Source organism: Homo sapiens, chromosome 10, assembly GCF_000001405.40.
Source record: "Homo sapiens chromosome 10, GRCh38.p14 Primary Assembly".
In the NCBI taxonomy this organism is placed as follows: Eukaryota; Metazoa; Chordata; class Mammalia; order Primates; family Hominidae; genus Homo; species Homo sapiens.
In genome coordinates, this window is record NC_000010.11 from 71,432,398 (window position 1) to 71,452,389 (window position 19,992).

Consider the following 19,992-nt stretch of genomic DNA (forward strand, 5'->3'; position numbering starts at 1 on the left):
TGTGTTTGTGTGTGTGTGAGTGTGTGGGTGAGTGTGTGTTTGAGAGCGTGTGTGTGAGAGCATGTGAGTGTGTAGGTGTGTGTTTGAGAGTGTGTGTGTGCAGTGTGTGGGTGAGTGTGAGTGTGTGGGTGAGTGTGTGAGAGAGTGTGTGTGTGTGCTTTCAGGCACAAGTTTTCTTTCACACTGTTGGTCCTCACCTGGGGAAAGGAGAACCCTCAGTATGGGGCCAAGTGCCAGCCTTGGGCCTTGTCTCCGAGCCTGGGTTTTAGCCCATTCTGCTGCTCGTGGCTGCCTGCAGGCAGAGCATGAGGGAGCCCTCCTGGTGATGGGAGCAATCCGACCTCCTCGCCTAGCGAGGAAAGACCCAGTGGGGCTGGACTCGGGATGGAGAGGCAGCGCCTCCCGAGCTGGGACCCACGGCCCAGGATAAAAGGAGCTCCATGTCCCTAGAAACGTCTGGTAGCAGCCCAGGGAGGGGTGTCAGCCAGAGGACCGCCGAGGACCCTCCCAGCTCCCAGAGTCTCCCCTGGTGTTTGCACCTGGGACTCTGGCCTTCAGGGAGGCTCAGGACAGTGCGGGAGAGAACGTCTAATCAGGGTTGTCCATGTGTTCATAGGCTGTGGCAAGATTTTGGTAGGGTGGCCATAAATGAGGCCACTGATGTCAACACGTTGAATGCTTATTGCAGAAGATAGGCGGAATGCAGAAACTAGCTAGAAGACAATAAAACTTCCCATAACCTCACCACTCACACAACACCCTGGCTTCACTCCACAGTGCTGTATGCGCACACTCCCCTGCATACATTCACACACTAGGAATCCAAACACCATCCCCTGTTGCTTCCTAGGGACATCCCACAGTTGAGCCAGTCCCCTTTTGGGTATCTATCATAAGTTACGCAGCAGTGGGCATCCCTGTGGCTTGGTGTCCACGTACAGCTATGGCAATTTCCTCAGCTGAGGTTCAGGAGGTGGAATTGCTGGGCCACAGGGTATATGCATTTTCAGGCTCTTTGGACAATTTTCAAAGACGGACTGATTCTCTGTCCAGTTGCCTCAGCTCAGGGGTTTGGGAGCCCTGCTGATCTTGCCCCTCTGGTGGCGGTAAGCACCACCTCCCTGCTGGTGGCTCCCACACTTCTGCTTCCAGCCCATCCTGGACCTTGGCTGAGCATGTCCAGCTGCTGACCCACTGTTGCTACTTGGTTGTCAACAGCCATGCCAGACTCGCCATGTCTCAAATGAACTTCCGATCTTGTCCCTCAGCCAGCTCCACCTGCAGCCTCTCCTGTCCTAGCTAATGGCAATGCCATCCTCCCAGGTGCTTGGGCTCAATTCATTCTTGCACAGCCAGATCCCCACCAGCAGGAAACCCTCTCAGCTCTACTTTGAAACATGCCCAGAATCTGCCAGATCCCACACCGCTCCCCTGCCTGGAGCTCATCATCCCTGCCTGCATCCCTGCAGGAGCCTGGACACCAGTCTAGCCACTCCCACCCATGCCCCCTACAGTGTGTCCTCATCACAGCAGCCAGGGTGCTTCTTGAAAACTGGTTATTCATATCACGTGTTTCCTCACAATCAGTGGCCTACAAAGTGTCCATGATGGACCCTGAGATCTCTCTGCCCTCATCTCCTGCAACTCTTCCCGCTGTGCACCCCTTCCAGCCACGCTGGCCTCCTCATGCTCCTCAAGCGCACTAGGCATGCTCTTGCCTCAGGGCCTTTGCACAGGCCGCTCCCTCTGCCTGGAAGGCATTCCTCCCAGATATCCACATGGCCCACTCTCCTGCGAGTGCATGCTCATATGTCACCTCCCCAGTGACCCTCAGCTGGTTCCTGCACTGCTCCTTCTTTCCCAGGGCACCTCACTCCCAACACTGGATGACTCACTCACCTGCTCTGTTGGGGTTGGTCTCTCCCAGGCAGTCTCAGCTCCCCCAGGGTGCGGGCTTTACCTTGTTCCTTTCTGTGTCCTTAAGCTCTAGCACAGTGCCTAGCACACAGTAGGGCATGTCAGGGCAGATGTGCGCAGTGTGGCCAGACCCAGCTGGATCCCCCACTGCCTGAAGCCTCACCTTGCAGCTCACTGGCTCTCTGTGGTATAAGACTTTGATTTGACTTGGTGGGGGGCAGGGGTGATTCCTATGTGGGTGACTCCATGGATGCTGTCACTGAACCACCTCTCAGAGCCTCCCCAGCCAGCCCTCAGCCCAGAGCTGGTCTGAGCAGCAGGTCTTCCTGGGTGATGACAGGAGAAGGTGGTTAATGTGGGCGGGGCTGCTGCTCTAAATCTGAGAAATTTGCAGTCAGCTTCTGCCAGGGACAAAGGTGTCAACCTTGAGGGGAAGGTGGTGGAGGGAAGCAGTAGCGGGTGAGGAGGGGGGAGACTTGCTCACCCCTGATGGAGCATGCATTCTCCTATTGCTACTGGTTCTAGGAGCAATGCGTGTGAGATGCCAACAGCCTGGGAGGGCAGATGAAACAAAAGCCCACCCACCACCCCAGCCATCTGCCTTCTTCTTGGCATGTGCAGCTTACCTCCTGCTGGCCCAGCATACCTTGGCTGTGAGCATGTTGGAATTCTCACTGGGCTCGCTGAGTAGATGCCACAGGGTCTTGCCCAGAGACTTCCTATCAGGCGCCTCTGCAGGACCCTCCCCTGGGTCACATGTCTGAGCTCAGCAAGGGTTGGGGCTGAGGCTGGGAGCCTGGCCATGATGGCCATCAGAATGGAGTTCAAATCCAGACTTGACACTTATTAGCTGTGTGACCTTGAGCAAGTTGTTTAGCCTCTCTGAGCCCCAGCATGTAGAATGCATTGTGTATCACAATGACTGGCATAGAACATAGACTCAGTAAATGTTAGAATTATGAATCTGATGTGTGGGTAGCTTGAACCCTGAAAACTGGGAGCCCTGGGATTTTCTCTCTCCTGATGGCCCTGGGCAGTGACAGTCTGTTTCACTTATTTGACACCTAGCACATGTTTCCAGTCACAGCCGTATGTTCTCATGGCCCTATGTCCTCCCACTGTGCCTGGCACAAAGTTTGGCATGAAGGAGAATGTTGGAAATTGGAGTCTGAGGGCTTTGGGGACTGGCTATGTGTCTTCTTAGGAGGAGGGCTCTAAGCCAGCACTTGAGAGATTTGGGGGCAGCTGGCTGTGGCCCTGCCCTTACCTCTGGAGCAGGTCTCTGGCACCTATCCCAGGTCCAAGCAGGAAGCCCAGCACAGAAGGGTGTGTCTGTGTTTCCTGATCCAGTGGGGAGACAGGATTGGTGGGAGCTCAGGCCGCATCCTGAAGGTGGGCCTGAGGATGGTGGAGGAAGCCACTTGGCTGTGCTGAATGGGAAGTGAGGAGGCCAGGAGGCTGGGGGAACAGCTATTGCACAGAGCAGAGTGAGGTCAGGCTCTCCCTGGGGACCCATGCTGCTCACCATGGCCTGGGTACTGAGGAATGCCAGCAGGCAAAGCAGCATCCCTCACCACACTGAGGCTGGAGGTCAGGGCTTAGGAGTCTGTCTCTTCCCTCTGGCATCAGCCTCTGCTCTCTCTGGGCCTTGCTTTCCTCCCGTAGACAGAGGAGCCAGAGGAAGATCTGGGACCTCAGGGAAAACCCAGCAGCAGGGTGGAGCCCTTCAGGCCCAGCTGCTTTGCTTTACCCTTTGGAGCCTGTGCCACCTTGACCTAGTGTCGGTGCCACCTCACCCTGTGGGGAGGATGGAGGCAGAGTCAGGTTGGAGCTGAGATGGTCCCTGCTTCCGAATGCTTTGGAGGCAGTCCCTGCCAATCCTGCAGAATTAGGGTTGTGTGCATCTACCCCTGACTGATGGATCTGGGCACTGAGGCAGTCTGATCGCCTCCGATGGGGAAAGGAGAACAGGCACTTGAGAGGTTGGGGGCCCAGTGTGCCTGGCAGTGTTGGAGCCTGAGCCTGCACTGTGGAAAGCGAAAGGCATTATGCATGCATGTGTATGCAGGCGCTCACTTTTTGGCAGACATTCACCCTGTGTTTTTTGTGTGATGCATATTGTGCTCCGTGAGGGAGGGGCCATGTCTTCCCCTCTTACAAAGTCAGGAAACGGGAACAGCAGCATGGTGTGATGGAAACATCAGGAGACTCTGACTCAGGCAGACCTGGTCAATCCTAGAGTGACCTCTCTGAGCCTCAATGTCCTCGTCTGTAAAATGGGGACAAGAAGACCTACTTCACAGAAGTGTTTTGGAAGATTGAATAAAAATAATACCCGTGAAAATCCTTGGCCTGTGGGATTGCCTAACAATTGTTCATTTCCTTCCCTCCTTCCTTCCTTCCACCGCAAACTTCCTGCAGCACCCAGCAGAATGGTGTGCTCTCCCCAGCTATTTGTGGATGATGTTCTTAGCAGATGTTGTTTAATTCTCATAACATCTGGTTTGGAATGGCAGAGGGCTGGAGTTTTTTCTGTAGAAGATACTCACTCACTGTGAGATGTCAGATTGTCACTTAATTGCCCAATGCCTCGGTTTCTCCACTTGTAAATCAGGGATAACGCTAGTGCTGCTGGCTAGCTTCTTTGCAGGATATGATAGGGTAATGCAAGATAACAGATGGAAAGTGGTTTGAACATTTAGAGAAAGGCATCTTGCTCAACCCCGCTAGTAGTTAGGGAAATGCAAATTAAAGCTGCAATGCTATACCATTTTTCATGTGTTCGATTGGCAGCCATTTAAAAGAGAGATCACTTCCAGGTGGGCACATAGGCCCTCTCATATACTGCTGGTGGGACTGAGAATTGCCACAGCCTTTTCCAGAAGATAATATGGCAGCGTCTAGTAAAAGTTCACATACACACTCTGGGTTGTATTTAATTGACCCAGCACTCCCACTGTTGGAGAACCACACTGAAGAGCCAAATCCCAACACAATTATGTACAGAGAGATGTTCGCGGTGGCATTGCTTTTGGGGGCAGGAACCTGGAAACATCCAAATGCCCATCAGTAAGGGATGAAATCTCCATTAGGAAACATCCATACCATGAGCTATTATTATCTCCTAAAAAGAAAGAGGTAATTCTAAGCAATGTTGGCCTGGAGTGCTGTCTGTGGGATTTCTTGATGTGCGAAAAGCAAGTTTCTTGTATGTAGAGGGTAACTCCATTATTCTCAAAGTAAACAGTAGCCTCACGGCTCTGTACATGTGTGTAATGGGAACATATTTCTTGGGTGCAGAGAAAGGCCTGGTAGGATGCATGCCAGCCCTTGCCTGCCCACTCTGGCCATGGTCATGTTTGACTCACAAAGTATTCCTTACAAATTGAGTTATTTGCCAACATTTAAAAATTGAATTCATGTGAAAAGCCTGATTTCTAGTTTTTCATTGAGAAAAATCAGAAGCTCCGCCACACTGGGCCCACATTCCCTCTTGGCTGAAACACATCAGCAGCTGCCACTTTTCAACAGAGAGCATGTGGACTCCAACTGGCCATCATCCCCACCCACCCAGCAACACCCTCATCTAAATTCCCTGCTGGCCTTGTAAGCATTTCAGTTTGCAACCCCTGTGATAGGCTGTTAATATTCAGAAACTCAAGGCAGTGGAAACACAGGGATAGGATGTGTAGGGGGAAGAGTTGCCTCTTATTATTCAAATACATCTTAGAATCTTTTGTGTTTCGTCATGCATGGTGGCTCACGCCTGTAATCCCAGCACTTTGGGAGGCTGAGCCGGGTGGATCACTTGAGTTCAGGAGTTTGAGACCAGCCTGACCAACATGGTGAAACCCCATCTCTACTCAAAATACAAAAAAATGAGCCAAGCGTGGTGGCACGCACCTGTAATCCCAGCTACTCGGGGGGGCTGAGGCAGGAGAATCACTGGAATCCAGGAGGTGGAGGTTGCAGTGAGCCGAGATCACCCCACTGCACTCCAGCCTGGGTGACAGAGTGAGATTCTGTCTCAAACAAAAAAAAAAAAAAAAAAGAAAGAAAGAAAGAAAAAAAAGAAAAAGGAAAAGAATCTTTTATTCTTCAAATGACTGTCTCATACTTTGTAATTAGGATGTTTTAAGTATAATATCAGAAGGAAAGCAAAAGGGGACTGTTGTATGTCGTGTTGGTCAGGAACATCTGGTAGGGTCACCTCATTGTTCACTGAGGACATGGGCTGAGAGGGATTGAGGCCTCTCCAAGTCCAGAATTAAGGGGTCCACGCTCTCAGCTCTTTCTTAATCCCTCACCCCTATATCTTGGCAGAGATGTGGAAGTCTCTCCAAAAATCCTTTCCTCCAGCTCTATTCACTGCCCTGTGTCTTTCCTGGTCACTTATTGACAAGAGAGATAGGACACCAGCTTGGGTCTTGATGCTGGCTCTGCTCTCTAGTTGGAGGTCTCTGAACAAATTGTCTGATGGCTCTAAGCCTACTTTGTGAGCCAGGGAGATGAACACGCCCCAGGCCAGATGCACAGTAGGTATGCACTGAAGGGTAATGTGTGTGAGTCTGGCCCTGCACTACCAGGGCAGACAGTTCTGTAGGAGGTTAGGATTCCTGGTTGGTGAGTGTGGTCCCCCTGGTGTCACTGCTGGGCTCTAGGGAGGCCTGCTCCTGAGCCGCTGGAGGACCAGGGCCCTGATGGAATGGGACCAGAGTGGGGACTGTTGCCATATGGGAGAGAGCTGTCTACCCTCCCAGCCACCCTTAGAAATAGGATCTGGTCTTTCAGAACCTCTGTCAACTGAGCCCCCGATCTCACTAGAGCTTAGCTCTGAGCCCTTCAAAATTCAGCTTTAGCCTCCACAGACTTGCTGTGAGGTCCTGGGCAGGTTGCCTCCCCTCTCTGTGCCTCTTTGGACACCATGACCTGCTGCATCCCTTCATATACAAGGTTATGGGATAATGTGGTGAATATAAAAAATAAAAAAAAACAGGAAGAGATATGCTCATTGGGCACTGGTGGTGGGATTGGGCTTGTTGGACTTGCCAAGCCCCCTGTTAGACCGCTGTCTTCCCGGTCAGTGCCCATCTCCTCAATGCTGTCCTCAGGATAACCAGGCTCTGTCACTCTTGGGGGATGTGGTCCTGGAGGCTGAAGGCAGCAGCCCCTGCCTCCATCTACTGGGCCTAGAATATGTCACTCTTTGCCCAGAGTCCCCTCGCAGGACAGCCAGTCCCCCAGGAGGGCAAAGAGGACCCAATAGGCCCCAGCCTCACCCAGTGACTCACAGGCCACTGTGCTATACCCAGGATAGGACAATGTTAAAACCAAATGATACAGACCCTCTCCTTTCTCCCATGTGCTCCTAAACCCTCCATCTGGGTTGATTCCTTCTCCTCCCTTCCCAGCCCCAGTTCTCTCTGGAGCTGCAGAGGTGGGAGGGGCTGAGGAGCAGACCCTCTGCCACCCAGGAAGCTTCTCACCCTCTTCTCTTTCTTTGTGTCCCCAGGAGCCATGGGGCGCCATGTTGCCACCAGCTGCCACGTGGCCTGGCTTTTGGTGCTGATCTCTGGATGCTGGGGTAAGTCCAGTCCTCCCCGTGTCTATCCCATGGGCAGCCTCTGCACGGGAGGCCAGGCTGGAGGGTGTTGGGGCTGGTGGTTCATCTTTGTGCTCTGGGACTCTGGAGACACTGTCTTACTGTGTGACTGAGGCACATACTTCCCTCTCTGGGCCTCAGTTGCCTTCTGCAGCTCTCACAGGGCTGAAAATACCAGCTGTCCCCAAAGCCTGGGACACAAGAGGGAATGGGAGGAGCCTTGAGAAATACTTGAGCTCTAAGGGAAGGAGGCACCTGTGACCGTGAACCGTCCTCCTCCTGGGGTGCAGGGACTGGCCACAGCTCTATTCAGTTCCACGGCTGTGTTCTGAGCACCTACTGTTTGCACTGTGTGTGACCTACTGCACCCAGCTCTGAGGGAATGGAGGAAATAACTCATTCTCAAGAAGCTCAGAGCCTGGCAGGGGAGAAAGACACATGCAGGATTTCCTATACTGCAGGGTGAATAGAGTGGTAATGAAAGATGGGCGCGGCTCCAGGGATGTCCATCGGAAGAAAAGATGAATTGGGCCTGAGGGGACAGGAGAAACCCAGCCAGAAGGGTCAGCATTTGATCTGGGCTGTGAAGACCAAGAAGTAGTTTTAAACTAGGTGAGCAGGAAGAAAGGCGTCCTGCTGGAGGGCATAGTCTGAGCAAAGCTATGGCAGCCAGGAGCCTTCCCCTCTGCCCTCCTTTCCTGGCCTTCCAGCAGCCAGCTCAGAGTGCCAGCTCCAGAGCCCACGGAGGAGGGTAGGAGAGGCCTGGGCATTTGCTTCTCGCTTGGCCCCTGGACAGCAGGTGGTGGGGAGCAAAGCAGCCCTGGGCTGCACTGAAGGCAGGCCAGGAGAGCAGGCATGCCTGATGTGGCATCCCCCAGGGCCATAGCATCCCCAGAGAAGAGCCGTGGGCATGGTGTACCTGGTGACACACGCAAACACATTCCTGTGGGGGGCCAGCTCCTTCTCCCCTCCAGGGAGCCAGGCGGAGTCTCTGGAGGCTGCTGCAGCCTCGTGCTTGTTGGAGTGTTGCTAGCGTCCTGCAGCCTGAGTATCCCTCGAGGATTCCCTCTCCTTGCCTCCATGTTTGAAGGGATCCCTACTGGAATCCCCCCTGTGATGGGAAGCTCACTCCCATCCAGGCAGCCCAGGAGTACAGCACAGTCTCAAAGACTCTCAGAGTGCAAGGGAGCCTCAGGCGCTTTTTTAACTCCCAGCTCATTTTACAGAGGAGACACCGAACCCTGGAGAAGCTACTGGCCCAAGGCTGTACAAAGCAGGGGTCTGTTATCCTCCATGGGGGCTTCTGTCAGGATATCACCCCCCTCACCCCGCTCCCCCCCTGCCTCATGTGGGAGGCTTCAATCGGGGCTCCTGAGAGCAGCCGTGGCCTCCATGTTCGCTGCACGGTGGGAGTCAGGACACTTTCTTCAGCCTCCCCGGGGACTCTGCCACCTGGGATCCACCCTCCTCCCCCATTCTGTTCCACTCACTTTCTTCATCCGTTAAAAAGAAATACATTTGGCCCGGCATGGTGGCTCTTGCTTATAATCCCAGCACTTTGGGAAGCAGAGGTGGGAGGATCACTTGTGGTCAGGAGTTCAAGACCAGCCTGGCAAACATGGCACAACCCCAACTCTAATAAAAATACAAAAATTAGCTGGACATGGTGGTGGCGCACACTTGTAGTCGCAGCTACTTGGGAGGCTGAGGCACAAGAATCGCTGGAACCCAGGAGGCGGAGGTTGCAGTGAGCCGAGATTGTGCCATTGAATTCCAGCCTGGGTGAAAGAGTGAGACTCTGTCTCAAAAAAAGAAAAAAGAAAAAAAAAAATACATCAGTAGAAATAAAGGAGGTGCTAAGCCCTTGGCTGCTTTCCTCTGTGAGACACGGCAGTCTCCCCTTGAGCTCTCCAGATGAAAGATGCTTCGTGCATTCAGGGTGAGGACAAGAACAGAGTGTATAGCCAGAGCTGACCTCCTGTCTTCCACTCCCGCTCCAGCTAAGGGGTCCCTTGGGCGAGTGTCTTAACCTTGCTGTGCTTTAATTTCCTTGTCTTTAAAATGGGAACAATAATAGGACTTTCCTTCTCAGGTTGTCAAAGTGATCAAATGGATTAATCTGTACATCAAGCACTTAGAATAGTGCCTGGCACAGATGAAGTGCTTATTAAGTGTTGGCTCCTTTATTATCAGAAGTTATCTTTCTCTAAGGGGAGCAAAATGGGGCATAGAAAACAGAGAAGCTAAGCAAATTGCCCAAGGTCACCCAGCAATTCTATGCCAAAGCGTGTATGGTCGGCCTGCATGTGGACTAGCCTGCTTTGCCATACGCACAAGGGTCCCTCACTCTCTCATTGCTTGGCACAGTCACCTCTTTCTGGTCCCTGTCTGAAGCAGCCAGTGCTGTTCCTTTGGCCTAGTGGGGCAGTGGCTGACTTTAGAGACTAGGGGAGAGTGGGTGACTGAACCACCTTCCCAGGCCCTCTAGACACCCCTGACCTAGCCCTTCACTTGTGCCCCAGATCAGACCACACTGCCCTCGCCACTTTGTTTCCACCTGACCCCGTCACCCCAGCCGATCTCTACCCCCCTACCTGGTAGTCAGGGATGGGTAGGGCTCAGGGATTTCAAAACCCCTTGCCAGCCTGCCTTCTCTCTTTGAAGCCTCCTGCCCTTCTCCCCTCTGGCCTCAATGTACTCTAGCAATTCTCCTTCTTCATCCGTGGGCTTGTTGGGGAGGCAGGAAGCGAAGGCCTGGGCAGGCCTGCCCCACCCCATCCTAGACTGACTAGCCAGCAAGCATTCTGCTGGGTCACTCCTTCTGTCCCCAGTTGCTGGGTGGGAGAGGCCTCTGACCATGCGGCCACCTGGCTTCCCCACCCGACAACATGTCAGGCTTCTGTCCCCTGGGGCTCATGTGGGCCACGCTGCAGTCACCTCAATGGTGACCAGGGTGCATGGGACACCTGTGGCCGGGAGGCAGGACTGGAGGGCAGGGCAGGGCTTTTTGTCCCCATCCTGAGGCTGGAAAATGGGGCGGAGGGCGAGGCAGAGGGAGAGGGATCTGCCTAAGCTCCCCAGCAGCAGTGGCAGAGCATGCAAAGTCCCTGACTCCTTGAATTTATCCCTGCACTCCCTGTCCAGTGCGCCTTCCTTGTCAAGGGGCGACTGGCGGGGGCACTCTGAGGATCTCTCCAGCAGGGATCTCAGCAGAGCCACTGCACCTTCAGCCCCCACCACCGCCCTGAGGCCTGGGGAGGCGACCGGGGCTTGGACTCAGACTGGCCTGGCTGGAATCTGGACCCTCCACTTGCCTGGGTTCTTCATGCCCTCAGAGGAACCCCCACCCCGCAATTCAGGGTGAAGTTTATGCTTCCTGGCTTGGCCCACCCTGATCCGGTGGGGACCTTCCCCATACAAGCACACCGACGTCCCTTCAGTCCCAGATCAGGTCCCCTGGATGCCACCTCCATGCCGCCACCCAGCCTCTGTTTACCCCTGTGTGTGGGAAATGCTTGTCATTCAGCAGGCAGCTGGAATGCTGTGCCCTCTCTGTGCCCTTCTCTCCCCTCTCTCCTCAGGCCCCTTAGGGTGCTAGAACTAAGTAAAGCAGGCACATGCCCTCCCGGTCTGCCTTTGCAGGCTCTAGTTGGGGAATGGCCATGGGGGTGGCAGAGAGGGCGGGAGAGGGCTCAGGGCAGTGCTCACAAGCCACAGACCCACAATGGGGTGGGCCACGTGGGGCTTGGGACAGAGAGAGGGGTCCTGCACTTGGGAAGCTGGGATTCTCCTTCCCCCGAAGAAATCACCCCCTGCCCCTCCCCTTCTACATCCACTTACATTCCCGCTTCGCTGGAGGCCCCAAAGCTGCTGAGCACACAGCTGCTGCGCTTTAACAGCGGCTTTGAGAATAAGTCACCTGTCTGCCCCGCCTGTGGTGGGCCTGCTCTGGGAACACAGGTCCTGTTTGGTATGTGGCAGGCGACCCACGTCCCGGAGTCTGCCTAGCTGTCTGTGCAGAGCTCCCAGTGACTGATTAGTGGCAGGCCCTGTAAAGTAAAATTTAGAAATGAACGATGCCACTGCAGGTGATTTTTTTTCCTCACTGGTTTCCTGGCCTCAACAGCCCAAAGCAGCTATTGAATTCTCTGGGCACTCATTTGCCTCGGCTGGGCTGCGTCCTGCTCTCCTGTATCCTGAGCCCAAGGCCCCCAGCAGGGATCAAAAGCCTTCCCGTCGGCTGCAAAGGCAGCGTATTTATTAATACCACTGTTAATACTGGCTACCATTTATGGAGTGCTTGCTGTGTGCCAGTGGCACAGCGCTAAGCGCTTTATGTATGTAATCTCATTTAATCCTCAGGTTAGCCATGAAGTCCTATTATTATGGCTATTTTACACATGGGTAAACTGAGACATGGGATGATCATGTGGCTAGAAAGAGGCACAGGGAGGTTTCAAAAAAGGTGAGGCCCTTGACCACCACCTCTGTCTGAGGCTGTTGTGCTCCTGACAGGAGACTGGGGAGGTGTGTACGTGGGTGCATGTGAGTATTTGGGGTGGTCAGGGAGGGCTTCCTGGAAGAAGGGCCAATGGAAATGAGATTTGGAGGATGAATAGGAATTTGGCAAATGAAGGCAGAAGGGCCATCGGTCCTGGCCAGTAAGTGAGAGAGGGCAGAATAAGGGACTAGAAATGGCATCAGCTTGGCTGCCTGAGCACATCGAGGTGGGGAGGAGGAAAAGAGGCCAGTCTCCCAGCTCTGCCTGGTCCCAACTAGGAGGCATCTTGGGTTGGAGGAGGAAGTGCCATACCCAGATGCCAACCTTCTCACCCTCTGGGAGCCTGGCACATGCTCTGAGGGAGCCCCGGGTCAGCAGAAAGGAAGGGAGAGAGAGCTGCCCCATACACCCACACTCAGGGCCCCTGGAGGGCTGAGCAGGTGCCCCTGATGGCAGGTGCTGCACAATGACAGTCCCACTTCCAGCTAGACCAGCTGCCTCCTGGTTGGGAGGGACTGAGGGGAAGTGCCCTCACTTGCCTACTGAAGGCCCCTAAGAGAAGCTGGGGGACAGGTGGGGTCAGCTCAGGGAAACTTCATGTGGGGGCTCCTCATAGGTGCCAAGCTCCCCAGCCCATGTAGGTATCACCCTGACCCCCTCCAGACCCAGCCCGCTCTGAAGCCATCACAGAGCAGCACGTGGTTAACAGCACGAGCTTTGGGGTCTGGCTTCCTGGATGGCCACCGCCACTTGCCAGCTGTGAAAGCAAGGCATGTTACTTATGCCCTGGAGTTCTCATTTTCCCCAGTAAAATAGGGATGTGATAGCACCTGCCTTGCCATCAGGATTGAGTGAGGTGGTTTAAATAGCTGGTATGGAGAAGGGGTTCCTGAGATGGCAGCTATTATCATCATCGTTATTATTCTGTGGGATCAGCTGGCCATCCCTTCACACACCAAATCGTCTTGTGGGTTGTCTAAGTGTCAGGCCCTGTTCTGGGCACCAGGGTTCCACCCGTCAACCAAGCCCTGTCCTTGCAGAGCTCATATTCTGCTAGAGCCACACTGCCCAATAGAAAGACAATGCAAGCCACATGTGATTTTAAATGTTCTAGGAGCCGCACTAGAAAAGTAAAAAGAGACAACGTGCGATGGCTCACGCCTGTAATCTCAGCACTTTAGGAGGCCAAGGCAGGAGGATTGCTTGAGCCCAGGAGTTGGAGACCAGCCTGGGCAACATAGTAAGACCCTCCCCACTGCATCTATACAAAAAAAATAAAGTAAAATAGCCTGGCATGGGGCATGCCTGTGGTCCCAGCTAATTGGGAGGCTGAGGCAGGAAAATCGCTTTAGCTTGGGTGGTCCGGCCTGCCGTGAGCCATGATCACACTGCTACTCTTCAGCCTGGGTGACAGAGTGAGACTCTGTCTCAAAAAAAAAAAAAAAAAAAAAATCGGCAAATTAAAAAGAAACAGGTGACATTCATTTTAATCATATATTTTACTTGATCCAATATATCCAAAATAGAATCATTTCAATATATAATCAATGTAAAAGATCAGTGAGCTATTTTACACTAATTTTTTTCATACAGAGGCTTCTAAATCCTGTCTTTTGCCTGAGGAGCCCCTGTCATGTGCTTGCTCCATGTGGGCCATGCTCAGCAGGCACGTGTGGCCGGTGGCCTCACTTGCCACACACCAGACAGCTGCCTGCCGACCTACTGGCATTGTCCCCCACTTGCCTTGAGGCAGGATAGTGACTTCCAGGGTCCTGGGAAGTTGACCATGGCCATGGACACAGGCTCAGTGCCCACTGCAGCCCTCACCCTGTGTCACCTTATAGAGTGTGTAAAGCTGATGGGGGGTACTTGGCTGACGCTCTTGTCCTCTGACTTCCAGGCCAGGTGAACCGGCTGCCCTTCTTCACCAACCACTTCTTTGATACATACCTGCTGATCAGCGAGGACACGCCTGTGGGTGAGTGGGGGCATGGGCTGGTGGGCGTGCAGATGGCCTGGGGTGCAATCCCTTCCCACAAGTGAAGGGGATCTTACAGGTTGAGGTCATCTTCCACCTGATTTTGGAATCTTTTCCATTGTGTAGAAAGGCCCCTGCTAGGATGCCTCCAGGGACAGGGCACTCAGTCCCACAGAGGGGAGCTCTGAACGTCAAAGGGTTTATCACATTGAGCCTCAGATGCTCCACTCCCACTTCTGGCACTAGTTTGGATTCCTCTTGCACTTGAAGGCCTTGTGAATATTTGAAGATGGCAGCTGTTGTAGACTTTGTTTTGTGGCCTTTTGTAATTTTCTGTGATTACTAAGTTTTCTGCATTGAGTTTGCCTGGCTTTGGCATTAGAAAAAACATGAACTATTTAGGGGGTGATTATAAACATCTTGGTGCTCAGCCCGTCGCCCCATCACTCAGGTCTGTCCCAGTGTCTGGCCCCCTACTGAGGGCCTGCCTCCTACATCTGTGGCCCCATTGTCCTAGCTCAGCTCTTAGGACCCAGAAGCTTCTCAGGAAACTGAGGCTGAATTGCAGGAGCTGTCTTATAGCTGTGCTGATGGGGAGGCACCTGTGCCCGTGTGCAGGCAGCCAAACAGCAGCACCTGAAAAGGGCCTGCCCACCTCCACCGACAGCCCTCCTGTGTCATGTCATTCTCGCTGGTGTCACTTTAGGGAAAGTGCCTGTCATCCGGGGCTTCTTACTCTCGGGTCTGCCATCTCTACATGTGCAAAGGCAGGCCTGTGTGCCAGAGGCCAAGTGCATCAGGGGTCAGCATGGTGCATCTTTAGGGAGCATCACTTGAACTTGGAAATGAGGCAGGATGGCTCGGAGTGGGGCGGGGTATCAAGATGCTTACCTAATAGGTCATGTACACACTCTTTCATATGAAACCCAGTGTAGGTGTGCAGTAGAGTGGATGCATAATTCTTCAACGATCTCTGCTCCAGTGGGGTGCCTTACGCGGGCCCAGACTCTCCCCTGCTGTCAGTGGGGGCCTGTGAGCAGCGCCTTTCACTCTTCCTGGTGGAGGTTTTTTTTCAGGGGGTGCTGGGCCCAGCAGGTGTGTGTCTGGCTGTTTGTTGTGGGGATTGTCCCCACGGCCCAGTAGCACTTTGTTCCTGGGGGCTGTGGGGGGCCCTCTGTGGAAAACGGCTACTCCTTTGGTGATAGATCAGTGTTGTAAGGCTAGATTTGGGGGTAGGGTTTGGGGATCTGGGTGTTTGAGGGCTCCCCAGGAAGAAGGTTCCTGCCTTTTTGGAATGCCCTCTCATAGGCAGAGCCCCTTTCTGGGGGTAGAGAGCATACCCACGTCCCTTGGGGACCCTGCTAAGCTGTTTGCTCCCCTTTGGATTGGGTTGAGGGATATTTGTGGACGACTGGACTTGTAACACACCTGTATTCTTTGGGTGGAATTCACCTGTGACTCCTCTCTCCACCCAGACCTGGGGTGGGGCTGGCATGGAGCCAACATAGCAGCACACAGTGCATGTGTCTAGGCAGATGGATGTGCTGTTAGCAGCATTTATCATTATTCATGTCCATTTAAATCTCATCCTCTGGGAGATCCCTTTGTGGTGGAGGGATATATTTGGAGCAGGTGGGCCACTGAGGCAGTGGTGTGGCCAGTCACTAACTGACCCTGCTGCCGGCTGGGGAAAGTGAAGGCCCCTCTCAAGTGAGTGGTCCCTGCTCTGTCCCCACATCTGTGACCTGCATGCCAGGTTCTGAGCGTGGGGTCCTCAGAGGCCTATGTATTGGGATGGGTTGGGGAGGGATGGGCATTGCATGGCCTGTGCTGATGGTGACAAGCCCGGGCTGGAAGCCCATGTGGCCAGCCCTTCAGCAGGTCCTTCTCCTGCTGCCTTCAGCTCTGGCTCTTGATTGTCTTTTGCAAACGCCAGCATCGATCGGCCTCCGGAAGCAGCTCCCAGGCCTCGAGCCCTGTTAAGGCTGCACTTGGCAGTCACAGCAGGGTGGCTGTCTAGTGCCATGGGGATTGATCCCTGACTCCAGGGTGCCATAGGATTGAGAGGGGGCTCAGTGAGCTGGAAGATAGCTATGCTCTTCTCTCTAGGCAGGGGGTGGGTGCGGAGCTGCCTCAGCGCCCTCCCAGCCTCTTCTCTTCTTTTTGCATCAGTATGGGAACAGCACAGCTTTCACCTGAAAGTCAGGAGCCCAACATCTGTTTCTCGCTGTGTAACCTTGGGCACAGCACTGCACCTCTCTGGGCCTCTATCTCCTCATTTCAACAATGAGTGGGCATTGGAAAGATGAGCCCAGTGGACTTTGGCTGGGGCAGCCTGGCTGGCCCCAGTTGTTTCTAGGTTCTCAGAGGAGACCAGCCTGGAGCCCTCTGCTGGGTGCTGGCACCCACTTGTCCCTGGGCCAAGCAGATGGTGGGTATGGACTCACATGGACGTGTGGGCTCCATGGGTGCAGGCCTCCCACCAGCAGGCCAGGGAGAGGGGGAGGTTGAAATGGCTTGTCCAGGGGACTGGCCTTTTTCCTGCCATGGGGAGTGGGGTGGTCTAGAGACTTGACTTTGAGACTTGGCTCTCATGAACTGTTCACTCTTTGACTCAGGGTTCCAGTCACCAAAATGGGTGACTGGATCCCTCACTGGATTGTTGGGAAGTTTACATACAATACCACCACCTCTAAAGCTTCCAACCCAGGAATGTTTTGTTTTTACTAAAGGGAGAGCCCATGTGTGGCCCAGGGATGGCAGATTGGGCTGTCCTACAAGCCATGGGCTTTCAGGGTGGACAAACACACAGATAAGCTGGGTCCAGGGTGGTGCTCAGTGCCAGTGGCAAGAGGCAGAGCCCAAGCCAGGCTGACCGTGTCGGCTCACCAGAGGTTGGAGTTGTAAGCAGATCAAACTTCCAGCTCGAGGCCTCATTACCTGGCTTCTCCTTAGACACCCAGTGATGGTCAGCTCGTGGGCCTACAAGGCAGCTCACTCTGTGCTGTGGGACGGTTCCAGGAAGAAAAAATTCTTCCTAAGATTAACAGGAAACCTGCCTCCCTGGAACTACCCATTGGGTCTAATTCTGATTGCTGGAGCCTCATAGATTAAAAATGATAATATAACACATATGACATACTATATATATAGATATATAGATATATCATAAATTATTATAACAACAGCATTTATTGACTGTTCAAGGCAGTGTCCTAAGTGTTTTTATGCATTAATTCATTTTAAAAATTCCTTTTAAGAATCAGAGGTAGAGTTGGGCTACAGGGTCTATCTATATGTAGCTTCTGTGAATGTGCTTTCCTGGGTTAGAGACTGAGACTTTTATCCACCCCCAACCTTCTGAGCCTTCTCGTTTTGTATGCTCTTGCCTGCGTTCCAACAGGGGGCCAGTGGCCTGGGAGCAGAATGGGAGGGCACAGCATGGCCATCTGAAATCCCTCACAGAGCCTACGTGTTCATTACTATCTCCTCACCTATCTCAGGCTCCAGTTCCCTCTGTGTAATGTTCTTTTTGAAGACCGTCTACCAGCCGGAGAAGACAGAAGCCAAATGAAGTCATTAACTAGTGCTGCCTTCTCCTGGTCTGTTCACATCGCCCTGCTTCCCCAGACAGGGCCCTGAATCCCTGCATGTCTTGCTCCAGACGTTAATATCAGTTGTTGGCAGCAGAGCCTGGAATGCGTGGAGTGGCGTGAGGGCAGATCAGCAGCTCAGTCCCTGGTCAGGCTGGTTGGCCTCACCCACACCTTGGCCCTGCCTATCAGCCCTGAATGGTCACATGATGCCTTTAGCATGAGGGACAGGTGCTGCAGGGGTGCTGTCTCCCACTTAACCTCCTGAATCTACTTTTTTTTTTTTTTTTTTTTTGAGACGGAGTCTCACTCTGTCACCCAGGCTGGAGTGCAGTGGCACAATCTTGGCTCACTGCAGCCTCCACCTCCCGGGTTCCAGTGATTCTCCTGCCTCAGCCTCCTGGGTAGCTGGGATTACAGGCACACGCCACCACTCCCAGCTAATTTTTTTATGTTTTTAGTAGAGACGGGGTTTCACCACGTTGTCCAGGCTGGTCTCAAACTCCCGACCTCAGGTGATCCACCCACCTCAGCCTCCCAAAGTGCTAGGATTACAGGCGTGAGCCACCGCGTCTTGCCCTGAATCTACTTGAAATGCCCCACCAGCCTTGCTGATGTCGAGATCACCAACCACCTCTGTGTTGCTAAATCCCATCATTTCTTCCCAGACCTTGTGGCCTTCAATTGGTTGATCTTTTTCTCCTCCAGGACACCACCCGCCCCTTCCCAGCCTCTCTGCTGGTTCCTCCCGCACCTCTTAGCATCAGAGGGCCCCAGGGCTCAGCTCTTGTCTCTCCTCTCCTCATTCTCATTCCCGTGGTGGTCCCATCTAGCCTCCTGGCTTGGACACTACCTATATGCTGACAACTCCTAGCTTTATATTTTCTGTCTGGGCTGCTCTCAGGGAAGACTCCAGACTCCTATAGCCACCTCTCTACTCAACATTTCTGCCTGATGTCTAAAGGGACATTTTCATCCTCAGTTTGTCCAAAGCTGGAATCCTGACCTCCCCCAGATTCCTGCCTCACCGGCAGCCTTCCCCATCTCAGCTGTGGCTCCATCCTGCCAGTTGCCCAGGCCAAAAGCTGGGACTCATTCCTGTGCCTCTTTTTCTCCCTCCCCTCCCCTCCCATCCCTTAGGGCATCCTGTTGGCTCAGTCTCCAAAATCATCCCAGAATCTTCTCACCTCTCGGCCCTTCCACTCCCATCACCAAGGTCCAAGCCCAGTTACCCCAGCAGCTTCCTCAGGTCTCAGTGTTCTCCCTGACTCGGCCCTCACCCACGCTGCGGCCTTTTTTATCCCAGCCATGGATGGCCCTGCCCAGCCTGAGGCAGAGCCTGCTCCAAGGCCTGCTCAAGTCTCTCCCTCCCACACGGAGTAAAAGCCCGTGTTCCTCAATGGCAACCAGGCTGTTTGCAGCCCAGCACCTGCCACCTGTCAGACCTCGCCCCCACCCCGCTATCCCCCTCGCTAGCTCTACTTCATCTGTGCTGGTCTCCCTCTAGTTCCCTAAGTGTGAAAGGCAAGCTCCCACTTCACGGTCTTTGCAGCTGTTGTTCCTGCTACCTGGAACATTATGAACCTGCGCTTACCAGGCTCTTTCAGATGCCACCGCCTCTGGGTGGCCTTCCTGGGTCTCCTTGTTGGGGGTTAAGTGCTGCTCCCTTTGCTTTTTCCGGGGCCTGGCCATCCTCTCTGTTAGCCCCATGGAGATGCTGCTGTTACTCAGTTGCTCTTCTGGCTCCCTTCTTGGCCTGTGAATGCCTCCAGGTGGCCTGGCCATCACTGTGTCCCCAGGGCCTAGCCCTGCGCCTGGTGTGCGCCTGGAACTTAGGGAAGGAGTGCATGTCTGGACTTGGTGAGCATGTAGGGGAATCTTCCAAGGCAGGACCCGGGGGCTGGCTCCATGCCCTGTTCAACATCCCTCCTGGAGCCTCAGGCCAGGCGCTCCCCTCCCCAGGGCATGTCGGGAGCGAGGTGTTGGTGGCGATGGGGATGGCTGCCCAGGGAGTGGGCCCAGGAGAGCACTTTCCCGCAGATGGCACAGATGCTGTACGTGCCTATGCTTGTGAACGGCAAGGCCCGCGCTGTGCCAGAGGTCCTGTTTTTATCATCCCAGCTGCCCGCCTGAGCTGTATGTAGAATATTTGCCGGGGACCTTGGGGCCCTGAGCCATGGCTGGCCCTGGGGGAAGAACGCAGAGGTAGCAGCATGAAGCCTGGCTTGGAGACACCAAGTTGACCAAGGGGGTCTAGAAGGGATCCTGGAGGGCATTGAGGCCCTGCACCTTGGCCACCACCTTCATACCCCATGCCCTGGAGGGGGGCAGGGTTCCTGCCACAGTGGTAACCGCCCGCAGCCAGAAGCCTCCCGAGTGCCTGCAGGAAGAAGTAGAGCTC

The 19,992-nt window shown here is 53.9% G+C and overlaps 1 protein-coding gene across 5 annotated transcripts in view, besides 2 other annotated features; it reads left to right on the forward strand.

Moving 5' to 3' along the window:
* CDH23 (cadherin related 23) overlaps positions 1 to 19,992 on the forward strand; it is a 419,028-nt gene that overhangs the window by 35,478 nt on the left and 363,558 nt on the right. For all 5 annotated transcript variants that reach the window (NM_022124.6, NM_001171930.2, NM_001171931.2 and 2 more), the window contains exons 2-3: positions 7,430 to 7,501; positions 13,921 to 13,998. In NM_022124.6, coding sequence (NP_071407.4) covers positions 7,435 to 7,501; positions 13,921 to 13,998 — 145 coding nt within the window. In that variant the 5' untranslated portion in view covers positions 7,430 to 7,434. The remainder of the gene's footprint in view (positions 1 to 7,429; positions 7,502 to 13,920; positions 13,999 to 19,992) is intronic.
* Positions 9,836 to 10,221: a transcriptional cis regulatory region, noted in NCBI's record as "silencer region targeted for CRISPR/Cas9 deletion". NCBI's record gives its function as "negatively regulates CDH23 gene expression in K562 erythroleukemia cells {active_cell/tissue: K562}" and the evidence as "EXISTENCE:knockout evidence [ECO:0001091][PMID:32094911]".
* Positions 9,945 to 10,109: a silencer, noted in NCBI's record as "fragment chr10:73202099-73202263 (GRCh37/hg19 assembly coordinates)". NCBI's record gives its function as "represses an EF-1alpha promoter that drives an FKBP-Casp9 reporter gene in an ReSE screen, or a PGK promoter in conventional reporter assays, in K562 erythroleukemia cells {active_cell/tissue: K562}" and the evidence as "EXISTENCE:reporter gene assay evidence [ECO:0000049][PMID:32094911]".